Source organism: Homo sapiens, chromosome 9, assembly GCF_000001405.40.
Source record: "Homo sapiens chromosome 9, GRCh38.p14 Primary Assembly".
Taxonomy (NCBI): Eukaryota; Metazoa; Chordata; class Mammalia; order Primates; family Hominidae; genus Homo; species Homo sapiens.
This window is the reverse complement of record NC_000009.12, coordinates 102238720-102254796: the sequence shown is the minus strand read 5'-3', so window position 1 is coordinate 102254796 and position 16077 is coordinate 102238720. Positions and strand designations below refer to the sequence as shown.

At 35.7% G+C, this 16077-nt stretch overlaps 1 long non-coding RNA gene across 2 annotated transcripts in view, besides 1 other annotated feature; it reads right to left on the bottom strand.

Annotated features, from left to right (window-relative positions):
- LOC105376188 (uncharacterized) overlaps nt 1-16077 on the bottom strand; it is a 42808-nt gene that overhangs the window by 4912 nt on the left and 21819 nt on the right. The window contains exon 6 of one of the 2 annotated variants that reach the window (XR_930188.3): nt 6744-8040. The exons of the other annotated variant lie outside the window; for it this stretch is intronic. This is a non-coding gene — a long non-coding RNA (uncharacterized LOC105376188). Of the gene's footprint in view, nt 1-6743; nt 8041-16077 lie in introns of those variants that run through there. 2 annotated transcript variants of the gene reach the window in all.
- Nucleotides 1351-1520: an enhancer, noted in NCBI's record as "experimental_104153 CRE fragment used in MPRA reporter constructs". NCBI's record gives its function as "activates a minimal promoter by MPRAs in K562 erythroleukemia cells, with activity observed for both the introgressed and non-introgressed 9:105015644 variant alleles {active_cell/tissue: K562}" and the evidence as "EXISTENCE:reporter gene assay evidence [ECO:0000049][PMID:34662402]".

The window sequence follows — 16077 nt, the reverse complement described above, 5'->3', positions numbered from 1 at the left end:
ATTCTTCTAAAGTCAGCTCAAAGCCTTGCATGTGCCCCTGAGCTGCAGGATCCTGAGTCTACAATATCAGCCCCAATTTCATCTGGGCCTGGACTTAGCACAGGGGCTGGTACTGATACGTCTATTTGTAATGGACCTTCCTGCCTCTTGCCTTTGTTCTGAGGACAAAGCCATTGAAAACACCTCCTTATCTTTGCTTCCCTTTTTCCTTTTGAAAAGGAACCTGTGTGTACTGTGGCAGGACTAGCAGGGTCTTGCTTCCAGTTGTCTCAGGCCATTCACTGAACTAGGTAGAGTGGCCCTTCCCTCTGATTTGGCTATTCTACAGTCCTTTCTGTCCACAGATATGCTTTCCTACCTTGAGATACCTAGCATCCTCTTTCTCAGCTATTAAAACTACAAGCCTTTTCTAGCTTTTCCTTGTAGCCTGAAGCTTAGGATGCTCCTACTGGCACAGCCTACTCTTTCTGGCTTTCCTATCAGCACCCCACACCTGGGAAGCTTCCACGGCCCAAGTAAACTCACCCTGGGGATAAGATTCAGAGACTAACAGCCAAGCATTTTGAGGCTAGAAGCAACGTAATGGGTAGGCCTGCAGCTGGGGCTTGAGCTGGGGCTCTGTAGCCAGATGAAGAATTATGCCATCAAGAGGCTGTTTTTTAAAGCATGAGTGTCCTGTATCTTGCTCAATCAGCATGTGAGTGGTGTGTGGCACTGCATTCTCTGCTCAGTGAAGTCCCTAGACCACACACAAGACCTTATTGTGATTTTCCAGATAACTAAGTATTAAGGAGAAGTTGAGTGTTTGTCCTTAAATTTTTCCAAGGATACTTTGACTATAGTAGGAACGCCTAAAGCCATTTCTATCAACTCCTTGATAGGCAAGCTGCACTTGAAGATGTCTCCCTTCTTTGATGAGGCTGAACTAGGCAAGCCAAAGCACTCAGTGAGATGGTTGACAGAGGAGGCCAGCCAGGAGAGGTTATTTTTAGTGGACCTCAGTGGAACTGAAATAGATTACAGTGAAATCGATAAATGGATATATAACAACTATAAATAAATGCCTACTTATTTGTAAAAGGATAATATAATTTCTACTGTTTTAATCTTTGAATAATGCAAAAATATTTTTAATGGTTTGCTGGAAGGGATTATCTACTGATTTTTGGTCATCAGTCCTTTTTTCAACAGGGCACAGTATCTTCTTCATCTCACAGTCTATCTATGTGGGTGTGGCAGAAGGATCCAGAGTAAAATCTCAAACACAGTGATCTACTGGTTAGGGATGATAATATTTAGGAAATTCAGTACGCCTATAGGATAAGAAAGTGCGTCCACAATTTGTTCACTGATCCCTTTCTTGTATGAGGTGGCTCTGGGCCATGTTCTTTCTGTTAGGGCTGATAATGGAGAACAATGACGGATCTTTGGAAGGCTCTGATTGAATGTTACAGTTCAAGGTTTGACCTCAAGCAGCAGCATCCTATTAGATGGAGCATACTGCTACCTGCAGGAATAAGATGACAGTAGCACCTCCCTATTCCCTCACTGTGACAACCAACAGAGTCTCAAGACATTGTCAAATATTTTCTGGGGAGCAAAATCACACTGTTTTGGCAGTAGATTAGAAGTTACCAGGAGATGGTGGAGGAAAGGATTGAGGAATTATTGCTTAATGTGTGCAGAGTTTCTTTTTGGGGCGATAAAAATCTTTAGAAATAGATGGTGGTGATGGTTGTACAACATTCTGAATATAATTAATGCCACTGAAAAATTGTGAAAATGGGAAATTTTATGCTACATGTATATTTATGACAAAAATATAAGGGCAAATATGTTTGTGGCTGAAATGTAAAAATATTGAAGTGTTTCAGAACCACTCAGATACAGACACCTGCTTCCCTATAGTTTGTCTAGAAGATCTAATTTGTATTAAACAAAAATTGTTGCTTTTCTAAAAATACCTTAGGAGTGACAATGAGAGTGAGTAGTGAATAGTGTATCTCCACACAAACGTTTTACAGATCATATCTTTGTGATTGTTTTCTCTTGACTTGTTTAGCACTGCTGTATCTCTGAGGGCTATTATCTGCCCTCCTCCCATACAGAACCTCACCCCCCTGGCTCCCCACCTCCTCTCCCTCCCAGATCCCTGTCCTTATTCAATGGTTTAGACTTTTCTCACTTTATCATACAAAGCAATTTGGCTTTCCCCATTTCCCATCATCTTGATGTGCACGCAATTCCATTATTGGGAGGTGAAAATATCCTCTGTTCAACATAATTGAACCTGTTTGGGCAGCATTTGGAGTTATATATCACAAAACAAAAATACAAACAAAAACACACAAAACACCCAATGAAACTGGAGAAAACAAAACCAATAACAAAAACAAAAAAAAATTTCTTTCAGTCACTCCAAAGTTATTTCCATTAACGAAGAGTATCCTGATTTTCTTCATCTATTTTTGAACTTGTTATTAAAATTCTATTGGCCTCTCATCAATTTTAAAAACAGGAAGATTATATTGTTGATAGTATATATTTATACACACATACATACACATATATTTGTGTGTATTATATCACCATATTAGGTAGGCATACAACAGTTATTCTAGTAGGTTCTTTATAAAGAATATAAAATGTTGAAATTAAGCATTCTATCTTTTTTTTATTTTCACCCATTCTAGTGCTCATTCTAACGGATTAGCCTTGGCTCATGAGATCTAATTCTCTCCTATGCAAATGGTGAACCTTTATCAAACTGACACCTCCTTTCTTTTCTTGCTTTCTCCTGCATCAAGAGCTTCTTCATCATCTTCCTTCCCTACAGAATTTACATGTCAAGCCACATCCTTCTTTTTGTTCTCCTTTGACTTTCGCAGAATTATCTGTTTTAGAAATCCATCCACAAACCTGATCATCTCTGGTGCTTCAATATAACAATTCAGAGCACCAGTGATTAAAAACACTTATTTATTTAAAGTGCCAGGGCAGCAAACACACTTATAAAATCTAAGGTACTCAAAACAATAGTTACAAAATTAGAATGAAAATACAGAACATAGTTTTAATCAAAATTAAACCTTTAACATGATTGTTGAAAATGGAGCTTATTGTGAAAGCCTATTCCTTACCATCCATAGTAAGAGGTCAAGTTTAATTTATACAATTAATAAATCATGAAATAATGATACAAATAGTATTTTAAGGTGTGGAGGTTAATAATGAATGGAAAAGCTTAAAGTTTAAAGAGTTTGGATACCTCTGAGAAGCATGACTTGAGAAATAAGTGGTGATGAGACACTGTTTTTAATGCTTTACTTTTTATTTTTATCAGTTTAATAGAAATATTTGATTCTTAAGCTGTTCATATATTATTCTGAAAATCTGAAAATTAAATTTAAAAGTAATGTGGGCTTCATCAGTGTTTAATGGAGATTTCATTTTAAAATTTTTTAAAAATAATTTAAGTTTGACTACTACATAATTTTTAAAAATTCTACTGACTATTCAAATCCAATTTACAAAGGGTAGATATTCTGATATGATCCCCTACCGTAAAACATGCAAATATTATTTTAGTTAGAAGGAATGCATTTTTAAAACTATTATTGAGCTCTCACGAAAATAAAGCAAGTCTTCAATGAACAACAGCAACCACCACAACAAAAATCTTCAGCAAACCTAAAGGAAAACAAAAACGGTACTATAAACCTAACAACTTGAACGAGAATGCAAAAGGGCACACCAAAGCCAGAGCTGCTCTGGAAGTGTTCTGAATCCTTAATCCTAGCAGTTCCCTGGACATCAATCCCACTACGGAGTGGGATTTCAACTTAGCAAATTGGAGAAACTAATGTGAGACCTCTCCACATTAAGTCAGGAATCAAAAATAACTTTATCTTGCAATAGAGACAGAAGAATTTATTGACACCAGCCAACCATTAGGCAAGAAAAACTACATAATTAATCCATTTACTGATTTAAGCAAATGTTAATACTCAGCCCCACAGATGCCTAAAGAAAATGCTTGCTAGTTCAGTGTAGGTATAAATAAGGAAGACAAATATGATAGCATCAGTAGTTTGTTTATACAGGTTGTACATCTTTGAAGAAATATAGCATCATTTACATGATAAATGAGAAAGTATACTGACTTATCTTTAAGGCGATCCTAATTCTCACAGTGTACAATTTATTTTTGTTTTACTGAGGGTACGATGTGTCCTATTAATACCAATAAATTCCCTTGAAATGAGAGAGAGAGGTTGATTTGGTTTTTGGTGATTTTATGTGCCTTTCCCCTGTAGAAAGAGACCATTGGGGATTAGAATAAGCACCACTTTATTACATTTCTATCTCCTTTGTATCCTTAGATTCAGTAACTATGATCTCCTTTTCTATTTCCGTTGTATCACTATAACCTTATATTTTGAAGAATATTTTGTTTAAATAGAATTCCTCCTTACTCAATGTATAACACACTTTGTTTTTCTTTCACCAAAGTCACTTTCAAACCTGTAAAACTTGATTGGAATTCCATGTATTTCAAGTGAACTTTTCCCTACAATTCATTTTTATTTACTTTTTTATTAATTTTAGTCTTATAGACTTGCTTGTGAGAAATAAAAGGAAAATTCATTTATAGCTATTAAATGACAGAACATGTTCATATGTTATGTAGACTTCATGATAAACTTATTGGATAAAAGATATTATCCTCATTAAAATTAGAAAATTCATGTTTGCTTGTATAGCGCAATACTTATCTAAGAAATAATTATTGTTATTATACTGAACTACAATGTTACACCCTTCCATATAGCTACACTCTTGGCTAAGATTTATTACAGCGATGTGCTATAGTAAAGATATACAGCTGAATCATAAGAGAAAAAGACATGTGGAAGAGTCCATTTAAAGGTCTCATGTTTTCTTCCTCCCATGAGCAGTCACAGACAGCACACACTTCAATCAGCAATAAAAATGCAGCAACAGCTGTGGGAATTTTCTGCCCAAGGAAGCCCATTAGAGACTCGGTGACCAAGGCTTTTATTGGGGTCTGCTTATGTAGGTATTACCTGCCTAGCATGTATCAAAGTTCTAGACTCCCAGAAAGAAAGCATGTTTTTACCATCAACCACATTGTACAAATAGTTTAGGCACAGCAAGCCACTCTTATTAGTTAGGGTAAGTTTTATATCAATGTATGAAACTGTTTACCAGCCAAGTTTCCAGATGCCAGCCAAGGGTTAACCTTGCAAGCTGGCATTTCTAAACATAGCAGTCTTAGGTTTGCTTTATTAACTTTTCTGCATAGACTTCAGTTTCTATCTAGATCTTTTTGGCCAAGAATCCTTACGATTCTCTGGCATATGTGCTTAACATGTACAGTATGGTATTGTGACATTACACACATGGCTTCCAATCCTACCACTTTGACTAGCTATATAGTATATAACAATCTCCCATTGGCACCTGAGAACGGTTAAAAAAAGCAGAGAACTGTTAGTATCAGAAAGTAATAATGTAAAAACACCATCAACCTAAATTTTTTTTTTTTTTTTTTTTTTTTTTTTTTAGTTTGAGACAGTCTCACTCTGTCACTTGGCTGGAGTGCAGTGGCGTGATCTCGGCTCATGGCAACCTCTGCCTCCCGGTTTCAAGTGATTCTCCTGCCTCAGCCTCCCGAGTAGCTGGGACTACGGGCGTGCGCCACCACGCCCAGCTGATTTTTCTATTTGTAGTAGAGACGGGGTTTCACCATGTTGGCCCGGATAGTCTCAATGTCTTGACCTCGCGAACTGCCTGCCTCTGCCTACCAAAGTGCTGGGATTACAGGCGTGAGCCACCGCGCCTGGCCCAACCCAAAATCTTAAGCTTAGTTAAACTTTTTTTTTTTTTTTTCCCTGAGATGGAGTCTCTCTCTGTCGCCCAGGCTGGAGTGCAGTGGCACCATCTTGGCTCACTGCAAGCTCTGCCTCCCGGGTTCACGCCATTCTCCTGCCTCAGCCTCCGGAGTAGCTGGGACTACACGCGCCAGCCACCATGCTTGACTAATTTTTTTGTTATTTTTTAGTAGAGACGGGGTTTCACCATGTTAGCCAGGATGGTCTCCATCTCCTGACCTCGTGATCCGCCCGCCTCGGCCCCCCAAAGTGCTGGGATTACAGGCGTGAGCCACCGCACCCAGCCTAAACTTCTGAAATGAGTATAGGTGAAATAAGATTTTTCAGACTTAAGTAGTTTACAACACTACAGGTGAATTTAGGAACATGAATCAAGAAAAGGAGTGATATGAAAAAGAATAAACATAAAAACAACTGGGTAGAGTTATTTGCAAACATGGTCATTCTGAATAAATGCTAAGCATAAGGTAAATTAAAATAATGACAAAACTTCAAATGAGTAAAATACTTTACAAAATTAATGTAGAAACTGAAAAATGATTAAAACACTCTAGAGCCATTTCATTTTCAGATATAAAAATCAAGAAATTGATTTTCTTCTTTGTAGTTATTTAATTAAAAAAAGACTTTATAGTGTTCACTACATTAATAAAAATAAATGCATTGTTTCCAAACCAGAAGCACAAAATGGAGAATGAGGAAGGTTTCACTAAATCAAAAGATATATAACAAATTGAGAATGTTCCAAAAAAAGAGAGATAAGCCCTGAAACAAGGTAAATATTAAATTTAAAACATTGTAATATATGAATAAAACATTCAAAGCAAGTGTCACAAATTAAGTTTAATAGAAAAACATAAAACATAATTATAATGTATAATAATAATAATAATATCAGTATATTGAATGAGGTAGACCTCTACCAGTTGCTTTTGGATGCAAACTTAACTAACAATAAAATAATATTGATAATAATAATTATTTTTATTGGCTCACAGAACTGCTCTATTCAGAAGGTAACACTAATTAAGACACTAAAAGAAAGTAACTAAGGTCCACGGTCTTTAGCCTCAGTCTTTCCTTTCTACATATTTTTGCTTCTCTTTGCATGTTGACCTCATTGTGTCCTAATGAAAATTGCTTTATTCATTTAACCATGAAATACAGCAGTTACACCTTATGTTATTCATAAACTTTGTGGAAAAAATGTTTATTTCTCATCCAAAAGCCATGTGCTCCCCAACATCCTCAGCCCTCTAGTAGCAGTGGGGCCATATGACTATTTCTGGCCAATGGACTGTGAGGAGAAATAATAATTCCAGTTTAAAGCAGGGAGAATTCAGTACACATCCCTCTAGCCTTCATTTTCCTTGTTGTGGGAAGCATGGTAGCTTCCTGTTGATGAAGGAAAGCTCCATAGATTGCTGAGTGATCACATAAAAAAATATTCTCTAGAGAATATCTCACTTTTTTGAACCTGTAACTTGGGCAAAAAGTAAAATTTTGTCATGTTACATCTATAATGTTTTGTGTGTGCTTATTGATTGCCAATGTACAATCTAAACTTATCTCTCTAAATGAACTGTCTTTCCTGATGGTTCTAGTTAACAAGGCACAATGAAGACACACACTATTTTAGCTTGAATAATGTGTTAACCTAGAAGAAATCATTGTAGCGAGAGAGATTTGGTATTCCGATAGGCCAGATATTTGATATGTGCCCACTCTTGGGAAGATAGAGGTGATCTCTTAATAAAGCCTGAAATGCGGTCCTCCGAGGAGAGAAAGGTCTTGTTATTAGACGGAAAATTAGTAATGGTTGATAATAATAGTAAATGACTACTTTATGTCCCCTAAAATGTTTTCCTCACTGTTATGGGATGAATTGTATTCCCCCAAAATTCATATTAAATCTCTAAGCCCCAGTACCTCAGAATGTGACTATATTTGGAAATAGGGTGTATAAAGTGTAATTAAGTTAAAACGAGGCTGATTAGAGTGGGCCCTAATCCAATCTAAGGACAGCTGTCCTTATAAGAAAAGAAAATTTGAATACACAAAGACATGCAGGGGTTTTCTTACACAGATGAAAAGTCATGTGAAGACACAGTGAAAAGGCAGCCACCTGCAAGCAAAGAAAAGAGAATTAAGGAGAAACCAAACCCAGTGACACCTTGATCTTGGATTTTCAGCCTCCAGAACTGTGAGAAAATAAAATTATTTAAGCCATGATATTTAATTATGGCAGCCCTAAGAAACTAATACACTAATACATAAAAATACCAAAATCTCTATTAGTTATCAAAATACTGCCCAAAACACTGCCTTCTTCAAAGTAGGCAACTCACATATCATCCACTTACTGCAGCACTTCCAAGTTAAGGAACTCTATTTGATGGATATTTCTCCTAATCAGTTTCAAGGGCTGTCCCTTAGAATGCAATAGCTTATAGCTGAATGTTAAAATTTACAGGGAAATTCTAGGAATCAGGAATCAGTATTAAGAAATACCATAGCTTTGAAAAGCAGAAAGCAAAATACCGTTAGCACACATAAATAAATAGGCCTACATGCAATAGCTATGGGAATCTTTCCCACATTTCCTTCTTTGAAGGGTCAAATAGGCAAAAGAAACACTGCTGGAGAATGTTTAGAATGTTAAGACATATATATTAAATTATGAACATTTCCAATACGATGTATTCCAGAAATTGATCACACATTAAAATAGAGCTTGCTAACTAATACTTAGGAGTTACAGATGTGTTCAAATATTGATTCCCTGAGCTCTCTAGGCAGGTAGGTGAACAGTCGCATCTCTGTTCATCTTGGTGTAGCATATAATCATTGCAATTTACTCTTATGCCACAATGTAAAAATTGTTGGGAAGCAATACATAGACAACCTCAATAAATTTCAAAACAGTAATTGTTCAGGCTGTATTGTCTAACTGTAGTATTATAGAAATTAAAATGGCCATATTTTTTCAATCCTGAATTCTACAAATTTTTGTATTTTAGATTTTCTAAATTAAGGTGAGTCTTAAACTTGTAGCTGCCACACAAGTACAAGTCATGAGATAATGATCAATTCCTGTACATCTGTGAACTATACATGGTTTTAAAATAACTCTTAACATAGTCATCTATTCAATTTAAATATCTCTAATAGTAATATATTAATAAAAATGCTAAAATGTAACTCTATCTCTGTTTCAGCTATGCCTCCAAGAAAAATGTACCAGCTTCTCTCAGAATTTCAAAGGGAAGTTGATGGTCAATAAAGCAGGACATGATCGTGTAGGTTCTGAACACTAATTTGGAGATCTTAACTAACCACAGATATCTAGCTTATGAAGTAGATGGAGAAGGTGAGATGGAAATTTTAAAGGACTTTCAGAGTGCATAGAATTCCCATGGTCTAAGATGAGGAATGCTTTTCTTCTACCTTAGGAGGGGAAAATTGATGTTAAAAAATCACACTCAGAATTTCACATGTTTACCCTGGAGCTTCGGATAGAGGTAACATCTTAAGGAATTGATTTCTCATTTGAGTCTGAGAAAGAATAGTCCTGGAATTGACTTAGATGGTGCCCATTATAATTTCTTGGAGGGATGAAGCTGCCATCAGCAGAAAGAAGCTAGAGGTGAACTGCCAATGCATAGATGGCAAGAAAACTGCTTGAGCTACCAATTGGAGGAGATACATTTACTTCATAGTGAGAGGAAGAGAAGGAGGTTGATAACGAAACCATCAGCCAAAATAGAGTAAACTTTCAACATCTGCCAAACCCGAAGAAGTCAATGCTTGAACACCCCAACAAAACCATGAGGTAAGATCCTACCCACTGATACAGCCTCCTCTTTTCCAGTTTTAACCTTACGAGAGAAACCAAGATACTAGAGACGGGGGAATTTGAACACTATATATTTTCAGTCCAAGAGACTTGTTTTAAGTAGATCTAAGGAAGGGGAGAAGAGAAACATGGAATGAATTTTAAATGTAGACTATGACATTAGAATGCTTATTTTTCTTAACAGAAGTGGTTTTTATTGCCTAAAAGGAGGTAAAAAAAGACATACATGAGACTTGCTCTACATTTCACATAAAAGGAAGAATAGAAATAAATAGCTTCCAGAAAATTATTTGAATAGGTGAAAGGAGAGGCATAAGAATAAAGTTGATTGTACTTTTTAGAGTATTTGCTTGTACTTTTTAAGTCTGACTTTTCCAATGCAGTTGTATTTGTGATAGTAAACTAACAATACATGATGTGAATTTAAACCCAAAGTTGGACAACGAATTTTTACTTTAAAATGCCTTTTGAAATATTCTAGTAATACAGCATTGAAATTAAAATAAAGTATCTTTTTTATAAAAAAGGTTGCCTGTTAAATGCCATGATTTAAGGAAGTCTTATGTGATAATGTACATAACTTTGATGGCCAAAGGATTCAAAAGATTCTTTAATCAGAGAATATAAAGAAAAATTACATTCAAACTGGAGTATGAATCACATTTAATTATTTCCCTCCAAAACAACCATTATTAAATTGATGGTTTATCTTAAAATTATTGACATTTGAGAATTTAGAAAACATTGATAAAAGTTGTAAAAAAAATAACAAAAGTATACCACTTGCAAATTACTTTCTCATTAGACAGCAGATCAAAAGTACCCATACAGATTATTAGAAAGCAGTAATAATGAATGACAATAATTAATATCAAATCAGAAAGGTTGTAGCTATAGGTGGCACTATAACAAAGAAAAGCAATAACTTAATTTCAGCATACCATTTAAGAAATAAAGAAGGGGACAATAAAACAAGCAAAAACTACTTTGGAGGAACACTCAATAAAGATAAAGGCAGAAATTGATTTAAAAAAGAACAGTCAATTAGATAAAATTAGCTAAAATCTATATCTTTGAGACAAGCAATAGAATAAGCAAGCGTCTAACCTGTTTAATCTACCAAAGATAATAATAAGAAACAAACACAAAATCTCAGAACTTAGTGAGAGTGGTGGTATAACTAGAGATTTGCTAGCTACTTAAAAGCAACATAATATAAACAATTTCATGTGAATCAACATTAACATATTTAACTACTTTTTTAGGAAAAGAAATTGATTACCAAACCAGACTCATAAGTTAAAAAACAAAACTGATAATGAAAGACCATGAGATACATAAGGAAAAAAGGTAAAGCTTTATTTTCTATTATTTTAAAAATCTGCAGATTGGAGAGGGACAGCCTTCAGAGGCACAGAAAGTGTACTCTCTGGAGAACAAAGGGAAGGTTTGGCTTAAATAGGTAGTCCTCAATCAGGCAGTTTATGCAAATAAAGAATTCAACCTTATGTCATTTTGATTGGTAGAAATAGTCCTTGATTGCGTGGTTTCCAACTGAAAAACTAGAAATCTCTGACAAATGTTCTTTGTTAGATGTTTCTTTTCCTTCTGTCAGCTGATTGAGGGGAGAGGGGTTCCAGGTGCAGTACAGTTTGTCTTAGCACTGACAACAGAAATGGCTTGGCTAGATTGTAGAAACAGAGGTCCTGTTACACTTTTATTACATCTTTCCGGGAACACAAGAGGATATGACTACTCCTTTACCCGGCTATGGCAACCAGGTTCTGTTTTAACTTTGAGCATTTCAGTAGCCATGGGGAGTCCATTTTGTCCACTGGCCAAGGTAAATTTTCCTCCTTTTTAGTGGAAACCTGTCATAGGCAGTGTTGATGATCAACTTATGTTTTTGTTCCATACTGTTGCCAGAATGATGTGGCTAACTGCACTGGGTCCACCTATTCCCTTGGTGGGACTCATGTGGCTGAGAGATATGTGGTCAGTTTGAACAACTTGGTCAAGTGTAAGGTGAGAAGATGGGCAGGCACCTGCTAGATTTAATTCAGTGTATCTTACTGCTATTCAGTGGCATCTGGTAAGTCTATGGATAAGACCTGGAAGTATGCAGTCAAATTGATGTTGGCAAACTAGTAAAACATTTATTCAAGCAAATAAAACAATTTTAAAGAGGAGCTAGGTGCTTAGGCTTAGTATGAAAAGGATTTAAGAAAATAAATGTGGTTGAGAAAAATTTAAAGTAGCCATGGTTAAAGATGCAATTAGCAAAAACATTTGGTTATTTCTGTGGCATATGACATTAATATAATAACTATGATTATGGCAAATAATATATATCAAGATAAATATGAATTTAGATATAGCATACAATTTTGGAACTCACATTAACAATACATTTAGGGCCGGGCACAGTGGCTCACCCCTGTAATCCCAGCGCTTTGGGAGGCCAAGGCTGGCGGGACACGAGGTCCAGAGATTGAGACCATTCCTGGCCAACATGGTGAAACCCCGCCTCTACTAAAAATACAAAAATCAGCTGGGTATGGTGGTGGGTGCCTGTACTCCCAGCTAATTGGGAGGCTGAGGCAGGAGAATCGCTTGAACCCGGGAGGTGGAGGTTGCGGTGAGCCGAGATCGCAATACTGTACTCCATCCAGGCGACAGAGCAAGATTCTGTCTTTGAATATAACTTGAAGAAAGGTACATATCTTTTTTGCTATTTGACAGCGTTTCCTGTATGATTTAAACACAATGAATAAGCTTAGTATGTCTCTCCTGGATTTTGGGGTATTTCTGTTATGACTAAGTTAATGTCCAAAAGACTTGATTTTGGAATTTGAAATTTAATTTTGGGAAGCTTGTCAAACATCAAAAGTTTAAAGTAAAGTATTGGTTGGCAATAGGATCACAGATCACTATGAAATAAAACCAAAGTTACAAAAGATTTTAAAGGTATAAAGCACAAGAAATTATGATGAAGCACAAAATGGAATCTGTTTTAGAGGCCAGTTACCTCAAAGGTAAAGAAAAACTTTTCACAATTTTCTATTAGAGGGCAAATTAATGCTTCAAGAAAACCCTTTTGTTTCAACACAGGGGCACACACTCTAGCCCTGCATCAATGTGCTTTTGATATTAATGTTCAGTTTTTAGGAAAACTTGTAATTTTATAATTTTCTTTCCATTTTAGCCAACTTGACCACACACAAAATTCATTTCATTAATTTTTCACACACCTTCTACAACTTACTCAAACCTTTAGTTTTGTCTTATTTTTGTCTTATACTTCTGAGTTTTTGTGTGTGTGGCATTCTACCTTAGGACAAAAATGTACTCTACTTTCCCCTCATCATTTTGACCATACAAAGTTCTCCCTCATGTAAAAGAAAAAATATTACTCTTTTTAACTTGGTTTACCAAAAATGGCTCCTACTTTCCTTCATATGTTCTGTAAAGTGAACTGTTTCTCTAGTATCTAGTAGTTTTAGTTACTTATATGAACTGCAATTTTAACTCTTAGCTACACTTATTTCCAGTAAAAAGCTTAGAAAGTAAGTAATTTTGAATTGTTTTTTAACCAGTATTTGTAGGTTAAAACCATTTCATGAATTTTAGTTTCAACGTTTTATTAACAAACAGTTCTAAATATATTTAGCTTTTCTATACCATATAAAAATAAGATGTCAAAATATATAAACTTCATTCATCTTATCTTTAATAATTAGTGTTCCAATATTTAAACTTACTTAAAAATGACTCTGACATTTCATGAGTATCTATTAGTTAATTTGACATAACACACTTTACGATTTTAAATTACTAAAAATACTTTTGTAACTATGACATGGGTAACTTTTCTAATTCCATTTCCAATTGTCCTGGGTCTCATGTACCCACGTGGCACCCACAGGTGATAATGAAGGGCAGGTCCAGTCAGGGTTCTGAATTTACATACCAGGCTTAGAGCTTAGGATAGAGGACAGGGCTATGAAGATGATACCTTTAGGATCCAACCTCACTCAGCATGCTCAGGAGGCAAAGCTGGGTCAGGGATGATTGATTGGCTTGACTCTACCTTGCAGCTGGTGGTCCAGGTACTTCAGACATGTCCCCAGGTCCCACCATGGCCACCTGTCTAGGCCCCACAGTTCATGGGCTTGTTCAAAGACAAACTGAGTAAGATGTGTGCAAGACTTTGAAGGAGCCCAGCAGCGAAACTTTACAGCTTTAATTCACAGATAAATAAAGCAAGTATCAAAAATAGTACAGGAACAACAGTTTTATGACCTTAAAACATCTATCAAAAGCAGCCTAAACTTGTATAATGAGTAAGTCCAGGCAAAATGCTTGAATTATACTTAATACTGACAATTTTGAGGACATTCTAATTTTATTTTGCCAACAATTTTAAAGTAGTTTTATTTACCAAACATCACCAAAGTCATTTGAGCTTAAAGGCATTTGAGTTAGTTTCTATTTTCCTGGTGAAATATTTAAGTGTTTACATTTTCTTTAAGCCAAGTAGAGTTCTTTCATATATTTCAATAGTGAAATATCACATACACAAATCACATATAAATACATAGACATGCAGGTACAAAGAAGCAGATCATATAGCCTTACAAGATTTTTCATTCGCCAGCTTTCATGTAGCTTTTTTTCCTCCTTGTAGACTATACAGCTCTAAATGATTATTAGCAAGGTAACTCAATCTGTATTTCCAAAAACATGATTTCTTAGGTGAAATTTTACATTTCAAAGGCACAGACCTTAGATCCAAACACATTATTTGCTGAGACAATCAAGGACAAGGTCCAATCAAGACTAGATTGCCAGGAAAACTATCTTAAACAAAGTTAAGGTCTTTTATGTAAACATGAAAACAATAGTTTCTAGTGCTTTAGGTGCAGGGAGGGAGATGTCCTTGCAAATGGAGATTATTTTTATAGATGAAAATGTTTGTTTCTTACCAAGACTTTCCAAACAGCCAGCTAAATTCCAGAAAGTACTGGAGACCAATTTAGTTAGATAGCTCGTCTTTTAAACTTGGCTTATTTCTTGATTATATTACAGATTTCAGGGTGCAGCCCTTTAATAGGGTGGAGAAAGCATTTTTTTATGTCTGGACTTTGCATGGATAGCTCTGCAAAAGAAGTAAGCCTATTTTAGCTGCAGGCCTATATATGTGTGTGTGTATGTATACATGTATATATGTATTTATATATGCACATATACATACGTATGTATACATGTGTATACATGTATACATATATACGTGTATATACACATATACATGTTATACGCATATGTATATATACACATACATATACACGTATACATGTATATATACATGTATACGTGTATATGTATGTGTATATATGTATACCCATATATACCCATATATACACGTATATGTGTATATGTATTTATATATGTATATATTATGTATATGTAAATACATATATACATGTATATCCATATACATGTATATATGTATATATACACACACATAGGCCCACAGCTAAAATAGGCTGCATATATACGTATATACATATATATGTATATATATAAATATACATATACACACATATATTTTTGAGATGGAGTCTCACTCTGCTGCCTAGGCTGGAGTGCAGTGTCACAGTCTCAACTCACTGTAACCTCCACCTTCTGGGTTCAAGCAATTCTCCTGCCTCCCGAGTAGCTGGGACTACAGGCGCCCACCACCATACCTGGCTAATTTTTGTATTTTTAGTAGAAATGTGGTTTCACCATGTTGGCCAGGCTGGCCGCGAACTCCTGACCTCATGATCCGCCTGCCTCAGCCTCCCAAAGTGCTGGGATTACAGGCGTGAGCCATCGTGCCCAGCCCTATATTTTATAAATACTTTATGTAGCTTTTTTAAAAACACCAAAAGTATCTTTTCAAGTGAATTATCTTAACCAACGTCATGACAAACTAAAGGTCATGACAAAACTAAGATGAACTAGGCATCTCCACAGATTTATAAAGTAGTCCTTGCAATATCTAGAACCACCCAAAGGGAGTTCAAAGAGAGAAAAGTCTTAGTAGTTTCAAATGGGATATAACTGACATCTGTCCAGCCATGTTGTTTAGGGCCCAGCTGCTTCTCACAGAGCACCTATACTTAAAGACCCAAAAGCCCCACATGCACCTCAGATGGAAAAGACTGGAAGTCAAAAGTTTCCATTGGAAAGGGATAGGATCAATAACAAAAGGGTATGCCAAAAGGTCAAGAGTCATACAAACAATTTTAAAAAAATGGGTTT